Raw genomic sequence first — 21,533 nt, forward strand, 5'->3', positions numbered from 1 at the left:
TTCATTTTGTATAATAGTATATCCATCCCTGTTCTCTTTTGGTTAATAATAATATTTACATGGAATATCTTTTTCCATTCTTTCATCTTCAACCATTTGTGTCCTTAGATATAAAGCAGAGCTTCTTGTTGAGGGCATAGAGTTAGATCATATTTTATTTATCCATTCTACCAATCTATACCTTTTGACTAAAAAGTTTAGTCTATTTAAACTAATTATTAATAGGAAAAAATTTACTCTTGCCATCTTGTTATTTCTGTGTGCCTTACAGTTTTTTCCCCCCTCATTTCCTCCATTACTGCCTTCCTTTGGATGTGTGTGTGTGTGTGTGTGTGTGTGTGTGTGTGTGTGTGTGTGTGTGTTTGTGTTTTGGTCAGAGTCTTGCTATTGCCCAGGCTGGAGTGCAGTGGCAAGATCCCAGTTCACTGCAATATCCACCCCCTGGGTTCAAGCGATTCTCCTGCCTCAGCCTCCTGAGTAGCTGGGATTACAGGCATACACCACCATGCCCAGCTAATTTTTGTAATTTTAGTAGAGACTGGTTTCACCATGTTGGCCCTCCTGACCTCAGGGGATCCACCCATCTCAGCTTCCCAAAGTGCTGGGATTACAGGTGTGAGCCACCATGCCTGGCCAGATTTAGTTGATTTTTTTTGTAGTCACATGTCTTGATTCTCTTCTCATTTCCATTTGTGTATATTCTATAGATATTTTATTTGTGGTTACTATGAAAATTACTTCTTAAAGTTATAACAATCTATTTTAAATTGGTAATAACTTCAATTGCATACAAAAACTCTACTCCTTTACAGCTCCACCCCCTTCAAGTTTGTTATTGTTACAAATTACATATTTATATATTGTGTACACATTAACCTACATTTATAATTATTTTTTATTTATTTGTCTTTTAAATCTCACAGAAGCTGAAAACTGTTATGAACCAAAATTACAATAATATTGGTTTTTATATTTGACTATGTATTTACCTTTACCTTTAAGGAACTTATATCTTTGTATGGCTCTGAGTTCAGCATCCTTTCATTTCAACTCGAAGGACTCCATTTAGCATTTTTTATAGGGCAGGTCTAGTGGTACAGAAATCCATTAGCTTTTGTTTACCTAGGAATGTATTAATTTCTCCCTCATTTTTGAAGTACATTTGTACTGGGTAGAGTATTCTTGGCAGACAGATTTTTTTTTTTCTTTCAGCACTTCAAATATCATTTCATTCCTTTCTGGTCTCCAAGGTTTCTACTGAGAAATCAGCCTATAATTTATTGAGGATTCTTTGTATTTGATGAGTCACTTCTCCCTTGCTGCTTTCAAGATTCTCTCTTTGGCTTTGACTTTCAACAGTTTAATTATAATATGTTTTGGTGTGGCTCTCTTTGGGTTTATCTCACTTAAAGTTCACTGAGCTGTTTGGATTTGTAATGTTAGGTCTCTCCTCAAACTCGAGACATTTCCAGCTTTAATTTTTCACAAGTAATCCCTCTACACCCTTATCTCTTCTTCTTCTGGAATCTTCTTTTAATGTGCATATTGGTCCATCTTATGGTGTACCAGAAGTTCCTTAAGTTCTACTTGCTTTTCTTCTTTTTTCTTTCTGTTTCTTAGACCTGTTAATTTCTAGTGTCCTATCTACAAGTTTTCTGATTCTTTCCTCTACCTGCTCAAATATACTGTTAAACTCTTTTTGTGAATTCATAATTTCCGTTATTGTATTTTTCAGCTCCAGAATGTCTAATACTTCCTCTTTTTTTTTTTTTTTTTTTTTTTTGAGATGGAGTCTTGCACTTGTCACCCAGGCTGGAGTGCAGTGGTTCAATCTTGGCTCAGTGCAAACTCTGCCTCCCGGATTCAAGCAATTCTCCTGCCTCAGCCTCCTGAGTAGCTGGGATTACAAGAGTGCACCACCACACTCGGCTAATTTTATATTTTTAGTAGAGTTGGGGCTTCACCATGTTGGCCAGGCTGGTCTCGAACTCCTGACCTCAGGTAATCCACCCACCTTGGCCTCCCAAAGTGCTGGGATTACAGGCGTGAGCCACCGCACCTGGCCTACTTCCTTTTTGTAATTTACATCTCTTTGTTCATATTTTTATTTTATTCATATATCATTTTTCTTATTTCCTTGAGTTTTTGGTCCATGTTTTCCTCTAGCTTTTTTTTTTTTTTTTTTTTTTTTTGAGAAAAGGTCTCATTTTCACCCAGGCTGGAGAGCAGTGGTGATCAGGGCTCACTGCAGTTTCAAACTCCTGAGCTCAAGCAGTCCTCCCACCTCAGCCTCCCAAGTAGCTGAGAGTATAGGCATGTGCCTTCGTGCCTGGCTCCTTTAGCTCTTTGAGTGTGTATATATATACATGTACATATACATACATACATACATACGCACACATATATTAGACCCTAATCCTCTATCTCTTTTATGTCACCTATATATTTTTTAGTCTCTTGTTTATGTTATTAATTTTGATGGAGGCAAATTTTTTCATCTTCTCCATTTGGCTCATGTGTGCTAAGACTTAAGAAAAGCCTTGCTGACTCCTACTGTCATAAGTATATTTCTTATATACTTCATTCTGTCATTTGGATTTTTTAAAATTTGCAGTTGAGGTGTCAGTGAAAAATTCAAGTAGAATTATCTAAATGGCAGGGATTGTTTCAGAATGGAGCAGAAATCAAAACCTACACTTGACATACAGATTGAGGGCATCTCAAAATGGAGACTTTAAAACCGTAGACATAGATAAGACTGTCCAGAGAAAACATGTAAAGTTAGAAGTGGGACAGGGATGCAGATCTGAGGTACACTCATACTAACAGAACTGGTTGAACAAAACAATATACAGGAAACCTAAAAGGAATGTCCAGAGAGGCAGGAGGAAAGCCAGGGAATGATGGATAAAAAGAACCAAGTAAGGCAAGCTTTAACAAGGGTTGAGTAGCTACTGCCCTTGACATCAACCCGTTATGATTATGACAACTTCAACCCTTTTTTTTTTTTTTAGACAGGATCTCACTCTGTCACCCAGGCGGGAGTGCAGTGGTGCGATCATGGCTCAGTGCAGCCTTGACCTCCCAGGCTGAAGTGGTCCTTCCACCCCAGCTTCTGAGGTAGCTGGGACTACAGGCACGTGCCACTGCGCTCAGCTAGTTTTGTTTGGTTTTTGTTTTTTGTTTGTTTTGAGACAGAGTTTCACTCTGTTGCCCAGGCTGGAGTTCAGTGGCGTGATCCTGGCTCACTGCAACCTATGCCCCCTGGGTTTGAGCAATTTTTCTGCCTTGGCCTCCCAAGTAGCTGGGATTACAGGCGCCCACCACCACACCCAGCTAATTTTCATGTTTTTAGTGGAGATGGGGTTTCACCATGTTGCCCAGGCTGGTCTCAAACTCCTGAGCTTAAGAGATCTGCCCTCCCCAGCCTCCCAAAGTGCTGGGGTTACAGGTGTGAGCCACCACATCCAGCCTCAACCTATTTTTTAAAAAGAGGTATTGGCCAGGTGTGGTGGCTCACACCTGTAATCCCAGCACTTTGGGAGGCCGAGGCAGGCGGATCACAAGGTCAGGAGATCAAGACCATCCTGGCCAACATGGTGAAACCCCGTCTCTATTAAAAGTACAAAAATTAGCTAGGCGTAGTGGCACACGCAGGAGAATTGCTTGAACCCAGGAGGCAAAGGTTGCAGTGAGCCAGGATTGTGCCACTGCACTACAGTGTGGCGACAGAGCAAGACTCCATCTAAAAAAAAATGAATTATTTACGTTTGTCTTGTTCAAGGTGGTAATAACTTTTTCAAGCAGGTACCAGATCTTACTCACTTTCATATTCCTAGAACTGAATATGTTTCCTGCCCATGGTGCCATCCATCCATCCAACAGAGTGAAATCTATAAATCTACTAATTAACCTATAAAGGTTTGTTGAATGAATATTTTTTAAATCTTTCTTTCTTTAAGTCAATATATCAAAGCAAATCTTACCACTAAGAACTTTGAGAAAGTACTGTGACCTTTATGGCCAGCTCTATAACTAAAGCTGGAGAATTGGCTTCCAGTTCTTCCATTAGTCTTGGCCTTTAACATACTAACATGGCATCCATGAAGGTGCAACTTTAGGAGAAACGTGGGGTTTTACCTGCTGATTTGAGAAGAATTGGAAGTATGTTCGCAAACACCAACAACTCTTTAATGTACCCTTTAACTACCTTGGAGACTTTACATTGGTCCTTGTTCTCCTGACATTACTTATTTTGTGGATTTATTAAGCACCTTTTCTTGAACTGTCAATCTGTAAATTGTCTGTAAAATTTAGTCCAGAGGGTAAAGGAATGGAATTATTCATAAGATAGTTTCTACCTCAGCTCATGGCGAAATTACTCACTCAGGGTATAATTAAGTCGTAGACACACTGGCCCAAAAGTGGATAGAAGGGAAACGGAAATAATTCCTGTTCCAATTTGGGTGCTTTCTGATGTTTGACAAGTATCTAGTGTATTCTCAAAGATAGGGGACCCTAGGGTCCCCATAAAGGGAAGAGAGGTGAGTTGTGTTTTTTTGTTTTGTTTTGTTTTTTCAGAGAATTGGAGAATAACTGGCTGGGGAGGGGAGGGAAGGGATAAGCAGAGTTTAAAAACCTTAGGGTTGTAAACAGGATGACAAGAGTGAAATCTGATAGGTAAGGTGTAAAGTTGGAGCCTGAGCGAGGCAAAGGCAGCCAAAAGAAGGGCTCAGGTGAGTGGTTCTAGAGCAGTGGTCCCCAACCTTTTTGGCACCAGGGACGGGTTTCGTGGAAGACAATTTTTCCATGGATATAGGGGTGAGGGAGATGGTTTCAGGATGATTCAAGTGCATTACACTTATTGTGCACTTCATTTCTATTGTTATTACATTGTAATATATAATGAAATCATTATATAACTCACCATATTGTAGAATCAGTGGAAGCCCTGAGCTTGTTTTCCTGCAACTAGATAGTCCCATCTGGGGGTGATGGAAGACAGTGACACGTCATCAGGCATTAGATTCTCATAAGGAGCATGCAACCTATATATCTAGCATGTGCAGTTCACAATAGGGTTCTTACTCCTATGAGAATCTAATGCCACTGCTGATCTGACAGGAGGTAGAGCTCAGACGGTAATGCAAGTGATGGAGAGTGGCTGTAAATACAGGTGAAGCTTCACTCACTCACCCACTGCTCACCTCCTGCTATGCAGCCAGGTTCCTAAGAGGCCACAGACTGGTATTGGTCTGTGGCCCAGGGTTTGGGGACCCCTGTTCTAGACTGAGCAGGCACAGGGCATGCATGTGCCAGGGGTGCTGCAGGTGCCAGGCCAGACCACCGGCAGGCAGACCTCCCCACCACAATCAGAAGTCCTGACAGAGCTTTATTGGCTATCCCCTTTGTCTGCTCATACTATTCTGTAGTGATTGTGTGCGGGACATGGCCTGCTGAATGTACATTCCACCCAATGAAATACAAACACTCAGATATTGCAGACAAAGTAAAATTTATTGAGACAGACAGAAATGCACCTACTCAGGACTACAGTTAAGCATTTACTATTAACCAAAGAGTTGTGTTCACATTCCAGATAAGTCTACGTGGAAAAGCATTCAGAATTTACTAGGTTTTTGCTACATCACTATTTCATCTACAATAGGGACAACAAACTGACACTCAGGATTTGATGGGCTCTCATTACAATGCTATACATTTAACAGGAACAAACATCAGTGACTTTGAGAAAAAGTTATAAAAAGACCAAAACCACCCACTGTAGAATGGGCTCTTGGATGTTACTGTACAGCGTGGTCAAGGTAACAAGAAGAAAAAAATGTGAGTGGCATCCTGGGATGAGCAGGGGGACAGACCTGGACAGACACGTTGTCATTTGCTGCTGTGGGTAGGAAAATGGGCGTAAAGGAGGAGAAACAGATACAAAATCTCCAACTCAGTATTAAGGTATTCTCATGCCTAGAATATTGGTAGAAACAAGAATACATTCATATGGCAAATAACTAACCATGGTGGAACAAAATTCTGGGATTTAAGTTGGATACCAAGGAAATTGTATTAAAAGAGCTGTTCATGGAATAAGAATAAAACTGTTCATTAAGAACTTTTCAAAAGTGAATTAGTGAGGATTCAGCTTAATACCTGTATCAAATGAGGAAGTGGTTTATTACAATATTTTTATAATCAGTATTTTATGTGTACTTGGTCACTATACAAGTGACTTCTTGTCACTGGTACAAGTGGACTTTTTGGAGGACTATTTCCAAGAAGAAGAAAGCAAACATTCTACTTCTAAGGATAAGGTAACTCATTACAATCTTTAGTACTCATGGAAAGTATTAAAGATCTTTAAAAAAATCGAATGCTGTCATGTCAAAGTGAGGCATGAAAAGTATTATTAATGTGGCTCCATCGATTTGGGGGTTCCAATCTGAGGAGGGCTTTTTATTTAATGTTTTAATGAATCAAAATATCTTCTTAGAATGTCTCTGAAAATGGCATCTCATTACCTTACTGGGAACTGTCTATTGAGCACTCTTCTCCATCATTAAGTTAATGCTAAGGATCTTTAAGTGTCATCTTAATTTGATACTTGTCATAAGATAATTAGGCAAATTAAAATCAGTGGTTCACCCTGTTCCTAGAAGTTTTTCTAAGTGAAATCAATTTTTCAATTTTAATTTGTTCTCTTGTACATTTTCCTAAGCTCAAAGGAGATAGTAACAATGGTTTTCTTTGATGATCTAAAGTGAGATTTTACAATGTCGTGATTTTTAATATACTTCATAGTAATTTTATTGCAATTAAGCACCTGTTTTCTAAATTATCTCAGTTTTGTTCAAGAGAGAAAAAAAATATTGAAACAAAGGTGATGGAGTTGAGATCCCAAAACAGAGTTTGCCTATGGTCTGTCTTCCTATGGGGAAAGTAAGTACAAAACCTCAGGGTTATTTACGAAGCCAAAGGACTTTGCTATATCAAGTAGTTCATTTCTTATCTAAGACCAACTATAGGTATGATGCTACTGTATTCAGGCAATGCCGACTGGATTGGAACATGCTAATTTAAGGTGAGTTGGTACATCTAAATGGTCAATTTGGGATGGGGGATTGGTCAGCTGCCACTATAATCATGTTTTGGCTGAACATATTTCTTGCTTGAGTTTATGTGGCTTTTGTGTGGACAGGCTGAAGTTCATGGGGGAAGGCAAGAGATAGATATGTGGGCCAGAGAGGCTTGCTTGGGTGGCTGATTCTGATTAGGACACCCTGATAAATGAAAATCAGTGGCGGACAGTAGCTTATAGACTGGTACTGAAGGAAATGGGGGAACTTCAGAGACTACTGTTTGGTACTTGTATCTGGGCCAGCTTGATAGGGAGAGAAATCCTAAGGAATGTAGAGATGATGACCCTACCAAATTTGGAACTAGACTCCAATGAGTTTAGTTAAAACAAACACTATGGTGAAGAACTTTCTTCATTAGTATCTTGTCACTTGGGGGAGTGAGGGGGGGACAGAATTTGCTCTTAAAAACCCAGGGTTTGCTTCCATGTGTTATTACGATGTTCTTTGTAGGCCTCCATTTGGGATTGAGTGGTTAAAAAAAAAAATCTGTACAGCTTTTGTGCCCTTATCATGATTTGTCAGTAGAAAGGGAGTAAAAGCAAAACATTGAGTTCAGAATTAGAAATTTTCTTCTTTTAAGGAACACCATGGTACTCTCAGAGAACAGGAGATATGTGTGCATGCCTTAGAAAAAGCCCTTGAGTAGGTAAGGAAGGAAGAAACCTATGGCAGACAGGATTGCTGCAGCCAAGGGGCTTCAAGCAGAAATGAAAGAGATGGCTTGTGAAGCTGCCCGTGTCGTGTGGGAGTCGCATGGCTTCTGCGAGAAAAGTGATTTAGGCAGACGGAGGTTTTTTCTCAATCAGAGGCTTTCAGTAACTCTGCTGATGCACAGAGAAGAGACTTCCTCAGCCTGCAGGCTACAAGAGCCAACTGTTAGTGCAAAAAAGGACTTTAATACAAATTTCTTATTCCAGAAATTTTGTTCCAGGTCTGGACAAGCTGAGAAATTTATCATTGTTTTTCGAGTTTTTAAGATACCCAAACACTTTTTCTGAGAGGTATGGGTGTGTGTGCAAGGCACACACATACAGTCTTTCTGTACATGCATGCATATTTATGCATGTACAGGGAAGTATCCAGACACCAATTTTTAATAAAATGAATTCCCCAAAGGGAGTCTTGACTGAATTAAGGCTGTTGTTTATAGGAAGCCAGATATAATGATGTGAAAAAAACTAATTTTTAATAATAATCACCGGCAGTAACGGGGGCAGGGGGAAAAAGTACAGTGTGGTGTATTTTTTGTTTTTTTCTTTTTCACAACATCTACAGGACACAAGAGAAGCACTTAGACACTGTAAGGCTGGGAACCATGCTGTAATAACCACCAGTGTGGGTAATCAAAAAGGGTCTTTGACATTTAAGAGGGTTGGGGCTCCCTGCACTGTCAGAATTCCACGTAAATCACATGCTTGTTGGAAAAATCTCACAGAAAGGAAGGAGGCTCTAATTAAGCCAATGACTTCCCTATCCAAAAAATAAACAACAACAAAAAAAAAACACAACACCCTTTCTCCCATACAAACATATGCAAAATCAGAATCCTCTGGGAACAAGCAGTTGTCTTCCAAACCTTAGGTCGGGTATAGAGAGCAACAATGGAGAAGAGACCTTGGTGCCTTGGAGTCTTAGATACAAATGCAGGAATAGGAAGTGACTTGCAATTTTGTGCAAAACTTGTGTCCTCTTTCTTGTGGGCACTACCATATGTACCCGACCTCATCCTCTTTGTCATCATCCTCATCCTCATCATCCTCTGTCACGGCTCGGGTGTGCACCCTCAGCTTCCCCTCTTTGTCCTTTGGTCCCAGCTCCCGTTCATATTCTAGGTCATCCAGCAGGACCACGGACCCACCACTGCCAAAATCCCCTGAGGTTTCCTGCTCCTCTTCTGAAAGATTAAAAAAAGCATTGAGGTTAGTTTCCACTTATACCTCATGACCCACGTCAGGGGTTCCTTTGCCTGAATTGTAGGGTAAAACCAAGCAGTTTACTTTCTGAAAACAGAAACATCCCTGCCCCACTGAGGTGAGTCTTCAGGGCATACATTACAAACTTTGTTCTCGTAAGAGCCCTAGAATTCTTGAGATGCTCCTACCTTCCCAGGAGGTTTACAACCCTAAATGAGAAGTGAAGGCAGCCTAAGTCACCCTTTGTCTGCAGCAGTTCTGTCTCTCTTCTCTGGTCATAGTGAGTTCCTGCCACTTGCCAAGCTAGCTACACGGGAGCTCATGTGATTTCAGGGTTACTATGCCTCTATTATAAACTTAATGTATACTGGAGTTACCTCTCAACATTCTTCTGCAGAGATCCTTATGCAGTGAGGAACCACAGGCCACCCAGGTCATTGTGGGGCTCATGCAGGAGGCCTTACTCACCACAGCTCACAGCACCCTGTTTCCTGGAGCCAGCCAACTCATTCCCATATTTGTCCACACACCAGCACTGCCCCGTGCTGCCGTGGCACTGTGTGGCTTTGTAATAGCCCTCCTCATTACACCGAGGTATGAAGGCCCCTGGGGGAACAAAAGGTGCAACTTTAATCAGAGACATGCAGATGATACTCGGGGTTAATGCCCGTCAACACAGGGAAGAGGGCTCACATGTCAGAATATCTGCTGCAGGGTCAGCAGCAGAGGATGGGGATGGTTGGCTATTAGTCAAAATTACAGGGCCCTTAACCTTTAGAGGCCCAAACGCGATGAGCTCTAAGGATGTCAGTGTTTAAACGGGAATGATAATAGCTATCATGTATTGAATACTTCTATTCTGGGCACTGACCTAAATCGTGCTTACATATGTATGTGTATATATACATACATTTGCAGAATCTCTTATTCCCACAACTCTAAGAGATACATACCATCATTACCTTTTAATATGAAACTGATGTCTAGGAAAATTAAGTAATCTTCCCAAGGCATCTGCTAGTAAATATCAAGTCCAGCATTACCAATACTTTGCCCAACCACATAAAGTGACTCCGTGAAATTGTTATAAAACTTTCTATACGCATTAACTACTGCACTTGGTTCTGACTAGTAACAAATGTTCTATGAACAACACCAGTCTGTGGATCATATGGTTCCAAGCTATTCCTTGTCACTGTCTTCCAGCCTCTAAGAAAGAGGTAATTAATAATAGCTAAGTGCTTTACTTGCATTATTTCATCAAGCCATGCCAATATCACCATAAGGTGTTGCTATTACTATCTCCCTGTTTGCAGGCAAAAAAAAAAAAAAAAAGTGATAAACTGGAGTTAATTTGCCCAATGTTAAGCAAAATTCCTTCTTTGATTAGTTCTAATTTTTCACTTTAAATCTTGAATGGGTACTACTGATATTACATTTTTAATGTGAGAAAATCATATGGTTTTTATGCTTTATATACTTTTAACAAGATGGATTACTAGTGGCACAAATTTACAAGTATGTTACTAAGTGATTGATATGGTTTGGCTGTGTCCCCACCCAAATCTCATCTTGAATTGTAGCTCTCATAATTCCCACGTGTTGTGGGAGGGACCCTGTGGGAGGTAATTGAACAGGAGGTAATTGAATCATGGGGGCGAGTTTTTCCCATGCTGTTCTTATGATAGTGAATAAGTCTCACAAGATCTGATAGTTTTGTAAAGGGCAGTTCCTCTGCACACGCTCTCTTGCCTTCCGCCATGATTGTGAGGCCTCCCCAGCCATGTGGAACTGTGAGTCCATTAAACCTCTTTTTCTTTACCCAGTCTCAGGTCTATTTCTTCATAGCAGTGTGAAAATGGACTAATACAGTGATTGAGGCATATAATTTTGTTTTGGTGTTTTCTGCATTGTTTCTTTTGAAGTTCCTAATTCATAAAATGATTCAGATATGCTCTAGAGATTTTTTTATAAAATGAGAATCTCTTTTTTGAAGAATTTGCCCATAAAAATATCTTGAGCCTGGTGCTCATTTTGAGGGATGAAAGTAGCATTTTGATTAATTTCCTGGTTTTGATTTTGGTTTTGATTTACCTGGGTCTTCTGTTATCAAAATTTGGTAACTGATAGTATCCATTTCAACTAGGTTTTCATAATTGTTATAAATTGACTTATAGCAGTGGTTCTCAAAGTGAGGTTCCAGGACAAGCAGCAGTGGCACCACATGGAAAACCCTTAGAAATGCAAGTTCTTGGGCCCCACCTGAGACTTAGAGAGTGGGGCTGAGCAGTCTGTTCATTTATTTAATCCTCCAGCTAATTCTGGTATATACTAAAGTTTGAGAACCACAAGTTTACAGTATTCTTCTATAACTGAGCTTATATCCCACTTTTAAATTCATGACACTATTTGAGCCTTTTTACTTCTTCATATTGTCAAAGGTTTGTCTATTTCATTTGTTCAGAAAACTATCTCTGATATGGTATTTTAATATTTTTACTTCACTGTTGTCTGCTTTCATCTTATTCACTTTGTGTTGTTCCTATAGTTTAAGTTACATCTAGTTAATTTTATTTTGATCCTTTTTTATAAATGCATTTGACGCTATGAAGTTTCACTTAGTTGCTTCCCATGTATTTGGTACACCATGCTTTCATTTTCTTTCATTTCTAGATATTTTGTAGATTTTTCTTTCTTCATCTTTGATCAATTTTTATTCATGAAACCAAATGTATGGGGGTTTAGTAATCTCATATTTTACTTCTATTGGTATTGTGTTGTGGCCGGTAAGTTTGATCTGTGATCATTTATTTGAAATTTGTTTTCTTCTGTGGTACGGTCTGTGGCAGATGTTTGAAAGACTACATTCAATGCCTAGATTCAGGAATACATATATAAGCATGAATGCTAACAAATCTTAGTCTACTTGAACTGTAGGTTTCAGGAAGTGGTATGTCAAAGTTTCTGAAAACCACTGTGGCTATAATTCGCCCTTACAGTTCTATTCCATTTTAAGTTATGAGTATAGTCATGTGCCACATAATGATGTTTTAGTCAACAATAGACTGTATATGTGACAATGGTTCCATAACATTATAACACCATATTTTCACTAGCCTTTTCTATGTTTAGATATAAAAATAATTCCCATTGTGTTACAATTGCCTGTAGTATTCAGTACGATAAAATGGTGTACAGGTTTATACCTAGGAGCAATAGGCTATACCATCTAGGTCTGTGTGAGTATACTCTATGATGTTTACACAATGACAAAGTCACCTAATGACACATTTCTCAGAACCTATCCCTGTCATTAAGCAAGGCATGTCTATAGAGCAACTGATGGCATAATATGGTAAAAGGGATATTTCAGCGAGATGATTGCATTATAAAAAACAGATTTGCTTTGTCAGATATTAATGTTGTTTAAAAAAGAGTATTTACCCTCATTTAATTTCAACTTTCTGTGGAATTATTTTTGTATAACTCTCCTTTAAAATACTAATCAATAATAATAAATGTGTTTGACCTGTTCACATTTATTGTGATTACAGATATTGTGATTACAGAAATGCTTACTCTTATTTCTGCCACCATATCTGTTTCCTACTTACTAAGTTTTCTTTATACCTTGTCTTTTTTCCATAGGTTTAAAACATATATTCTAATATTCTTGTGGTTACTCATATTTTCCACAGGGGAACATAGTTTTTCCTAGTAAAATCTACAGTTAATCTATACAGATTTTTTTTTTCATGAACAAACTAGAAGCTTAACACATTCTTACCACCTTTTTCTCACTTCCCCCAATTGTCTGGAATTTTAATTCCAGGTTGCCATATAACTATTTTTATTGGTCTTAGCAGAATTGTCATTTCTTTTTCATTATTGCATCTGAATAGTTCTTTCTGGGATCATTTGTTTGGTAGAATAAATCCTTTAGTGATATTTAAGTGAGTCTGGGGTTAGTAAGCTGACTGAATCTTAGATGGTTTCAGAGTACCAGAGTACCTCTGTCATCACACTTGAATGATCACTGGGATAAATTTTAAATTGTAGGTTCATAATTATTTCCCCTTGGCACTTTGAAGATACTGATTCTCATTGTACTGTGGGTAATCTTTATTTATAATAGTTTTTAGTTTTGGTTTTCCTTACAGGGTAGGTGTGTTTCTTGATAGTGTGCATCTTCTATGGAAGAATTCTTCCTCTTTGTGTAACCTGGGTGGTAACACCATCTACATCAGCCTCCTGAAAACAGAGGTTCCTGCCTTCCACTGTAGCTTTCTATGCCCTAATTTAATTTCTGATTTTGTGAGCGTGCTTACATTTTCAAATTTGCCTTTTATTTAGTGGAACAATCCCAGAATAAAAGTGTGGCATGGGAGGGACAGATTTCTCCTATTTTGAACCAAGACTTCAACCCAGACCCAGGTGACTCTAGGGTCTAGTCTAGAACATGCTACTCACCAGGCTATACCAAGATGATCATATTCTCAGAGATTAAATGAGACCATGGAACACCATGTCTATCACTTAGGAAAGGCTGCTGATGCCACAGTTAGAAGCTTAGTGGTATCCACCCTCTCATTAAGGAGTGTACGCCATTGCATGCTATCAGTTTTCAAAGAACAGTAGATAGAAAAGAAGGAAAATGTAGATGCGGTCAGTAGCCCAAAAAGAGATTTGTGAACAGATTCTCAATCAAGGACTGCAGAGAAAGTGAACATGTAGAGAGCTGGCTCCTCCTTGGACCAAAAAAAAAAAAAAAATGGGCTGAGGCCCTGGGTTGGTAAGAAGCAGGTGCTGCTCTAAAACTACAATGCAATAATTATAGCTGATAATAATTTGTTGATTGTTTTATTTATTTGACTCTGTATACCCCTGACTACATAAAGAATTTGTAAGCAAATGGCATTTTTTCTGAGTCAGCTGGAGTAATCTCCATATGTGGGAAATGTGATAAAGCAAGCTTTAAAACAAAATGGGATTTATTTTAACAGAAAGGTAGGCATTTCATTCATGTGCACTGGGGTAAATGAGACATCTTATCACAGGTGACCCTTACCAATGAGGCAATGTATGTTTTAATAAACAGCAATGTACTAATTCTACAACTACCTGCAGATCATAGGTACGTCACTCAAAATAATATCCCACATGGAGAAATGAGATCAATAAACAAACACAAGTCTTTGCACTAGAAAATCCTATGGAGGAGGGATCCAGCCACTTTGCCTTCAGACCAGAAATATATCTTTATGTCCTTTTACTCAGCAGAAGAATGTAGGCCTAAAGAGTTCGAAATCCTGACAACTTTGGGGAAGTCTACATGCATTTTGAAATAACTCAAAAAATCCTAAGAGAAGAAAATCACCGGAATTCATAGACTGCCTACATTTGACAATCTGCAAGAAAACTTGCCCATTTCCTTCTCTATTCATTTCCTTCAAATGAATAGAGAAACTTCTGAAATGGCAGGCTGCTTGGGGAATGCATCTGCCTCTGAATGCTTCACGGGAATAATTCTGTATTACTGTGTTGCAGCTGACACCTCTTTTTTTAAAAGCAAGGAAAGCAAAGCAGGCTCCTCCTTTCTTCAGCAAACCAATGAGAATGGCCAGTGTTTCTATGACAAATGCCAGGACTTCCTCCACGTGCTGGAGAAAGGCAGGCTTGGAGCTAAAGGGGACACTTTGAGAGGACTGCAAGTTGTGCATGTTAGGGGAACACACATTCACTCAACCCACTTGCTTCCGTGGTGTCCAAACAGCCTGCATACTTTCCTGGAGGGATTAGGTGAAGGTAGAAATAGGCTTAAGCACATACATGTCGTTCAACCCTGTTTGATAAATTCTGAAGAGAGTACAGCCCATCTGCCTCCTTCAACAGACAATCCTATCCGGGGAATGGAGGAAATGCTATAATTTTTAGACCTTATAGTTTGAGCACTTGAGAGCACCATTCAATGATCTTACTTAGAAAAAGCCAAGATTTGTTTTAGCCTAAGATCAGGGAGGAGTTAGCAGTGGGGAAGGTGCTGGACTTCGGCCCTGGCTGACCTCTCTTCCTGCCGAAGGAACACACAGCAGTTTTCAACCAGCCAGTCCTCTGTTTATGTCCAGCTGCCTGGAAGAGCTCTGCCTGGGGTTAAAACAAGGCATTTCTTTCATGAAACACTAGCCCTAATTGAATAACCATTGCCATGCTGATCATTACAAGGGACATGGCTGGCTTAATTAGTTGTTTAAATGAGTGGCAAGAAATTGTACTTACCCAACAGGCTTTTCCCCTTACTCAGCTTCTGAATTCTGTTCATTTCATTCTGGCAAGGGAGACCTAAAAAATAATTTCTGAAAGTCAGCTTCCAGATGGTATGGAGTATAATCGCTAATGATTGACTTCACTCTTGATGTGAAATGTAGACAATGACACACCTGGGAGTGGAATTGTTCCATATGCTGTTACTATGCAAGAAAACAAATTCGGGCCATTAGTGTTACTAGTTAAAAAACAAACCTCATACCACAATGCACTTAAAATAGTATTTGGGGGCCACTTGCATTGCATAGAAATTTTTCTTTCTAGTACCAACTCAAGCAAATACCAAGTATCTAATAGGTGGTGTAATGGACTTTTTCCTTTCTATCAGGAAGCAAGTAATCAGCCAAGGCTTATTAGTGGGGAAGTGTTCTGAATCCACAGACGAACTAACCAGAGGTGACAAATACTTATATAGCCTAGGTTTTCCTGTAGGAAAGGATGGATAGGAATGGTTACTTCAGACCTCACCACCCCCAGGAAAGTAAAATAGGCTTTGAGGGACAACTATGAAGATACAGAAGAGATCTGGAGAAGCACTGATGAGACTTTGTATCTAGGCTCTGCCACCTCCTAGCTGAATTCACCTGTCCCAGCCTCTGGGTCCTCAGCGGCAAAATGCATGTCATAGAAAAGAAGTTAGTTTCATTCTAAGCAAAATGAAAAGTGACCTCATTCATTCTTCAGAGTTTTACCATGATTTGCCTTTGCAGACCTTGTGGCTCTGGGAGTTCTGCTATTTGTTCATGGTTCATCCTGTCCTTGGCAGAGGAGTTCTGGTTCTCTGAGTTCTTATCTTTGGCTGATACTGCCTCTTTCTGCAGGCCCCACACTTGCATATAAAGTATCTAAGCAACCATTTACAACTCTTACCCTGTAGACTGCACAATGCTACCTGGTCTTGCTGCTTGTTCCATGAGAGAAACTGCTTGTAAAATACATTTTGTTGACTTCTTGTTTTAAGATGCTTTCAGAGTAAAGGAGAAACAAATTTCATCTGGATTATAAAAGGTAGCATTTCCTGGATGCTGTGCCACAGGAAGGGGTTCTGGCTTTCAGCAACTGCAAGAGTAAGGGCAGTCTATCCAGAGATGTCCCATGTGGCCAGGTGACCAGCTCTGGCACTGTTACCTCCAGGCAAGCATTAACACATAGGCTCTGTGTTGTAAGGAAACCATGCTAAAAATCACATGTTACAATACGAACTCAAACCTAAAACTATCACTAGTCTTAATGCTGAGAATCACTACAAGTATTTACACTACTAAAATTTTTAAATGGCTATTATCTTAACATTGATTTTAGGTACTAACAGATGTAATTAGAAAAGAAAAATGAGGTATAAAAATTGAAAATGAAGAGAAAAATTATCACTATTTGCAGATGATATGATTGCACACCCGAAAAATCTAAGCAAACCAACCAGAATAACTTAGAAACAAAGCAAGATTTTAGTAAGGTGGTTGAGAACAAAATTAATGTTGAAACCACCAGGGAGGGAATATAGTGCAAAAAAACACCTATTTCAGTTACAATGGTAGCAATAATAAATACAAGGGAAGTATAATAATTGTTAGAACAAAATTTCAAAATTAACACCATGGGTTGATAGATCCTGTTCTAAAACAAAATGATTCCATATTATACAGCTATTGATTTTTATTTGATTAATTTTTCCTGATACTTAAAAATTACCAATAGGAATTGTTTTTAATTGGATAAACTGATGCTAAAGTTCACACAGGGAAAGAAACATACTAATATCCAGGAAAATTCTAGAAAAACAGTAATGGCAGCAAAGGACAGTTCTACCAGGTAGTAAAACATATTGTAAAACAACTGTGATTTAAAAGTCTAAAACTGATTTATTTTATATATATATATATAGCAACTGGATGACCATCTCCAGGGAGGCTGGGAGCCTACTTGACTGTGTAATACACAATCTAGACTGATACAGAATTTAAGTGAACAGCAAAAAAGATAAAGTGAGAAATACCTTTCTAAGCTTTATGGCTTCTTAGAAGCCATAAAATACAGAGAAGCTTGGCTATCTTAAAATTTCTCCCTAACAAAAATGCATGAACTGTAATTTGGGAAAAAATATTTACAATACCTATGACCAGAAAAGTTCCAATTTCCTTAAAAAACAAACACACAAGAACCTGATAGAAAAAATATACAAAGAACATATAGACATTTCCAGAATGTTTCATTTGTACAGATGTTCAACCTAACTCATAAATCAAGAAGCTTGGTAACGCCATAGAGAATAGGTATTCTCATATATCTTTGGTGAAAGTAAAAATTGTTACCACCTCTTTGGAGGTGAGGTCAATTGCTCAAATTTTAAAAGGCACATGCCTTTTGACTAGTAATTTTAAGAACATATCTTGAAATCCCATACACACATACTTACCTTTCACTGAATACCCACGTTTTTTGTTGTGTGTGTATTGTCTATGCATACATAACTTAAATACTTTCATATTAGCAGCCATCCTCCTTTCCTGGCGGTGGGATATACCAGCTATGCCTGTAGTTGTATGTTCTCCCGATGTGGGCCTGTCTCTTCTGGTCCCATTAACTGTGACTGCCATACTCAGGTGCACCCCCCAGACAGAGGGAGGTAAAGTCAGGGCACCTGCCACTGGCTTCCTGTCCTTAATCTGAATCCCCCAGCAGGCCAACCTGTCTGACTTTGGGTTATATGAAATATCCTGGTATCTTTTCTTCTATTCCCCAAATCTTGCCTCTTTTTTTCATTAGCTGGAGTTTATTTATAACCAAAATATTCTTGTCTAGGACACTTAGTATAAATCTGAACTTATCCTAGAGAAACTGACAAGTGACTTTCTCAATGAGAATGATTTTCATTGTCTCTTACATTTTTAAGGTATTTTTTACATTGAGAGCTCACAGTGACCTTTGGATTATGTCATGAAGGTTTCTATACCCATTGTATAGATGAAAATACGGACAGTTGAGAGACTTCCCCAAAGGGAGGAACAGACAGAAGTAACTGACTACTTGATTTATACTCTTGGTTTTTCTAGTATACCACATTAAAAGCAGAAATAAACTGGAAGAAATGAGACTTTGGGCCTGGCATTAAATGGAATGAATTATTTATTCTCTGGCTGTGGCTCTCTGCCCAATTCATAGTCATACGCAGTCCTCCTCTGCTCCAGCAAGGCTGCCCTGGGCTAGGGACCCCAACCCTCCATCCCACCTTACCTCCAGGCTTCTGGAAGCAGTAGCACCACTCATTGTTAGAAAGCTTGCCATCCTTGAAGGAGTCACACGAGTTGAAAAGAGGCTTGATACAGGGCTCGTACTTATCCAGGTAGATGGCATTGATCTCTGAAGGGTCAAGCAGGAGGTCATAGTTCATGTCCAACTTGTTGAACATCCAGCCCAGGGAGTCCTTGCAGATGGGCAGGATGCTAGTGTCAAACCCTGCCAAACAAAAGGCATATCTCAGCTGCCACCAAGCCTGATGCTTTCCTCCCTGCTCACTCCCCAGCTTTCTGCCCCAAGAAGATGCCAAGGCCCACCTGACTCCCTTCCTGAGGCTGTTTCCTTCCCAGCATACAGATTTAGTGGTTCTCTAGAATATTTTGTGTTTTTTTGTTTTGTTTTTAAGTGAAATGGTTTAAAAGTCATCATTTGAGGAAAATATGTTCTAAAGGGGAAAAATCCCCAATGTTAACATATCTGTGATATAAATATGTGTTTTCATTTGCTTAAAATGGGGTGTGCCTGAAAGAAATAATAGAAACATGGTGAGTGAGAGGTATAGCTTATGGTACCAAAAACTATGCTTTCGTATTTCAAAAAATACTGGAAAACCAAAATAAAATATTTTTAAAAGGATAGCAGTGAAATGAAACAACATAGCATAATCCAGAAGCACCGCTTGCATCCCAGAGGACCTTTAAATCCAAGCAGTCTGAATGTTAATGGCAAAACAAGCCAGGTGCCTGCCTCTGTTCCCCACTCTTCTCTTCTGCAATCCCCTAAGGAGATCCATGAGATGGAATCCAAATCAACTCAGACAATAATTTCTTTCTTATTTCCCTGGGGGAGAAGAAGTTGTTTTCTTAAAGAATTATTTGTTTCCACAATGGAAAGTGTATGCACTAAAATAATAACACTTAGCTCAACACTCGGGATATTGAGTCTACTGTAGACATGTCCCAGATTTAAAACTCAACTTTTTTCAGAATCAAAGGTCCCGTGCAATCTCAGGTTATTCCATAAACTGGATTTCTAGGGCTAGTTGTATTTTTCTGGAATACCCCAATGATAAAAGTGAACGTCTGTTGCTATATAGAAAGCATGCTTCTAAGCACTTTGTACTTAATTTTCTCACTGAATCCTTGTAACAGTCCTATGAAATGGTGCTATATCATTCCCACTGTACAGATGAAAAAATAAGGCTCAAGGTCATACAATTGTAGAATGGAGATTCAGACCCCGGCAAGCTTAATCCAGAATCTACATATTCTCAATGACACCTCTGCTAGCCTTCTGCCTGACTTGATCTTCCTGTCCTGAGGCCATCCAGTTGGCCTAGAGTGTCACGTTTAGGGATGGGCAGTGCAAGGGGGGGCCTGATGGGGTCAGTTGCCCATCATTAAGCATTAATGACAGCCTGGTCATTAAGTTTCTATGTGAATCACTAGGAACCCTTTCTTAGTGAAATGTAGAATACAGCAAAATGTACCCACTCTTTTTTTTTGAGACAGAGTCTCACCCTGTTGCCCAAGCTGGAGTGCAGTGGCACCATCTCGGCTCACTGCAAGCTCTGCCTCCCGGGTTCGCACCATTCTCCTGCCTAGCCTCCTGAGTGGCTGGGACTACAGGTGCCCGCCACCATGCCCAGCTAATTTTTTTGTATTTTTAGTAGAGACAGGGTTTCACCGTGTTAGCCAGGATGGTCTCGATCTCCTGACCTCGTGATCCACCTGTCTTGGCCTCCCAAAGTACTGGGATTACAAGCTTGAGCCACCGCCCTCGGCCCTGTACCCACTCTTTAAAGCAGCATCTTTGCAGAAAAGTCTTCACTGTCTAGAAGCCAGTAAAATAAGTACAGCATCTCCTCCTCTGAGCTCTCTTATAACCCTATGCTTCCCCTCATTGTCCATGCTTGTTAATCAAACTATAGGCTCCCTGAGGGAAAAGACTGTCTTGTCCCCTTCAGCAGCCTCAGGCATGACAGGAATATAGTGCTCAATTAAAAAAAAAAAAAAATGTTGGGAGACGTTTTCTAGCTATTGTAAACTCTATTGCTTTAAAACATAAAATCTTTCCATTTTTAAATTTATTCAATATCTTAGAACACATTTTAAAATACCCACCCCCCTCTTTTTTTTTTTCCAGAAGAGAGGCTACGGGACATAACGTGGCCCCTTCTTTGATCGAATGTCATGATTGTCAATAGTCTTTGATGATGCTGTCCCTCAGGGGCTGCTGAATGAGAGATAATTTACTTTGGCACTACACAGCTCTATGCTTTTGTAAACAATATTTTACATACATCAATTTTATAGGATATCGATATTTTAATGCATAAGGCAAGAGGAGTTTACTGCTGACTGGTCGGCAAAAAGAAGTGCCAATCTGGTTGGGCAGTAGTCAAAAAGTCAAGCGCAGCCCACCCTACCACTACTAGAAAAGGAGTGCCTGCATCTTGACATCTGTGGTTGCCTGTCATGCAGGAGAAAGGAGAGCAGCCCTTCTAGTTGGCCCCAAGAGTGCAGGGACCAAGCAGGGTTCCAGGGCTTCCCCTTCAGAACTCCTAGACTCAAATGCCGCTCACTCCTCTGGCCTTCTGGGCTAACCAACATCATGCTTTAACATTCCCTTCACTCCAGTTGCTTCAGGATATCAAACCTAAAAGCCTCTTAGGGGACTCAATTTGCTTTTGGGCAAAGGCAGGTCTTCTGGAGAAATCTCCAGAGACTGGAGGCTGCAAGCAGCTGCTCTCCTCACATCAATCTGCTTTTGTTGATAGGTTGTTCAGAAAACCCAAGGGTCAGGCTGCTCCTAGAGGATCCAGGGGAAAAAAAATCTTATTTTGCTTTTCCAACAGACCCAACCACCAAGAACCCCACCAAGAACCACTTTGGAGACACTTAAATGC

General features: G+C 39.6%; 1 protein-coding gene across 1 annotated transcript in view; it reads right to left on the bottom strand.

Moving 5' to 3' along the window:
- Positions 5,499–21,533, bottom strand: part of SPOCK1 (SPARC (osteonectin), cwcv and kazal like domains proteoglycan 1) — a 524,029-nt gene continuing 507,994 nt past the window's right edge. The window contains exons 8-11 of the mRNA NM_004598.4: positions 18,623–18,844; positions 15,341–15,403; positions 9,533–9,670; positions 5,499–9,045 (exon numbers count right to left, since the gene is read on the bottom strand). Of these exons, the coding sequence (NP_004589.1) occupies positions 8,855–9,045; positions 9,533–9,670; positions 15,341–15,403; positions 18,623–18,844 (614 nt within the window). The 3' untranslated portion in view covers positions 5,499–8,854. The remainder of the gene's footprint in view (positions 9,046–9,532; positions 9,671–15,340; positions 15,404–18,622; positions 18,845–21,533) is intronic.

This window comes from Homo sapiens, chromosome 5 (genome assembly GCF_000001405.40).
Source record: "Homo sapiens chromosome 5, GRCh38.p14 Primary Assembly".
Lineage (NCBI taxonomy): Eukaryota > Metazoa > Chordata > Mammalia > Primates > Hominidae > Homo > Homo sapiens.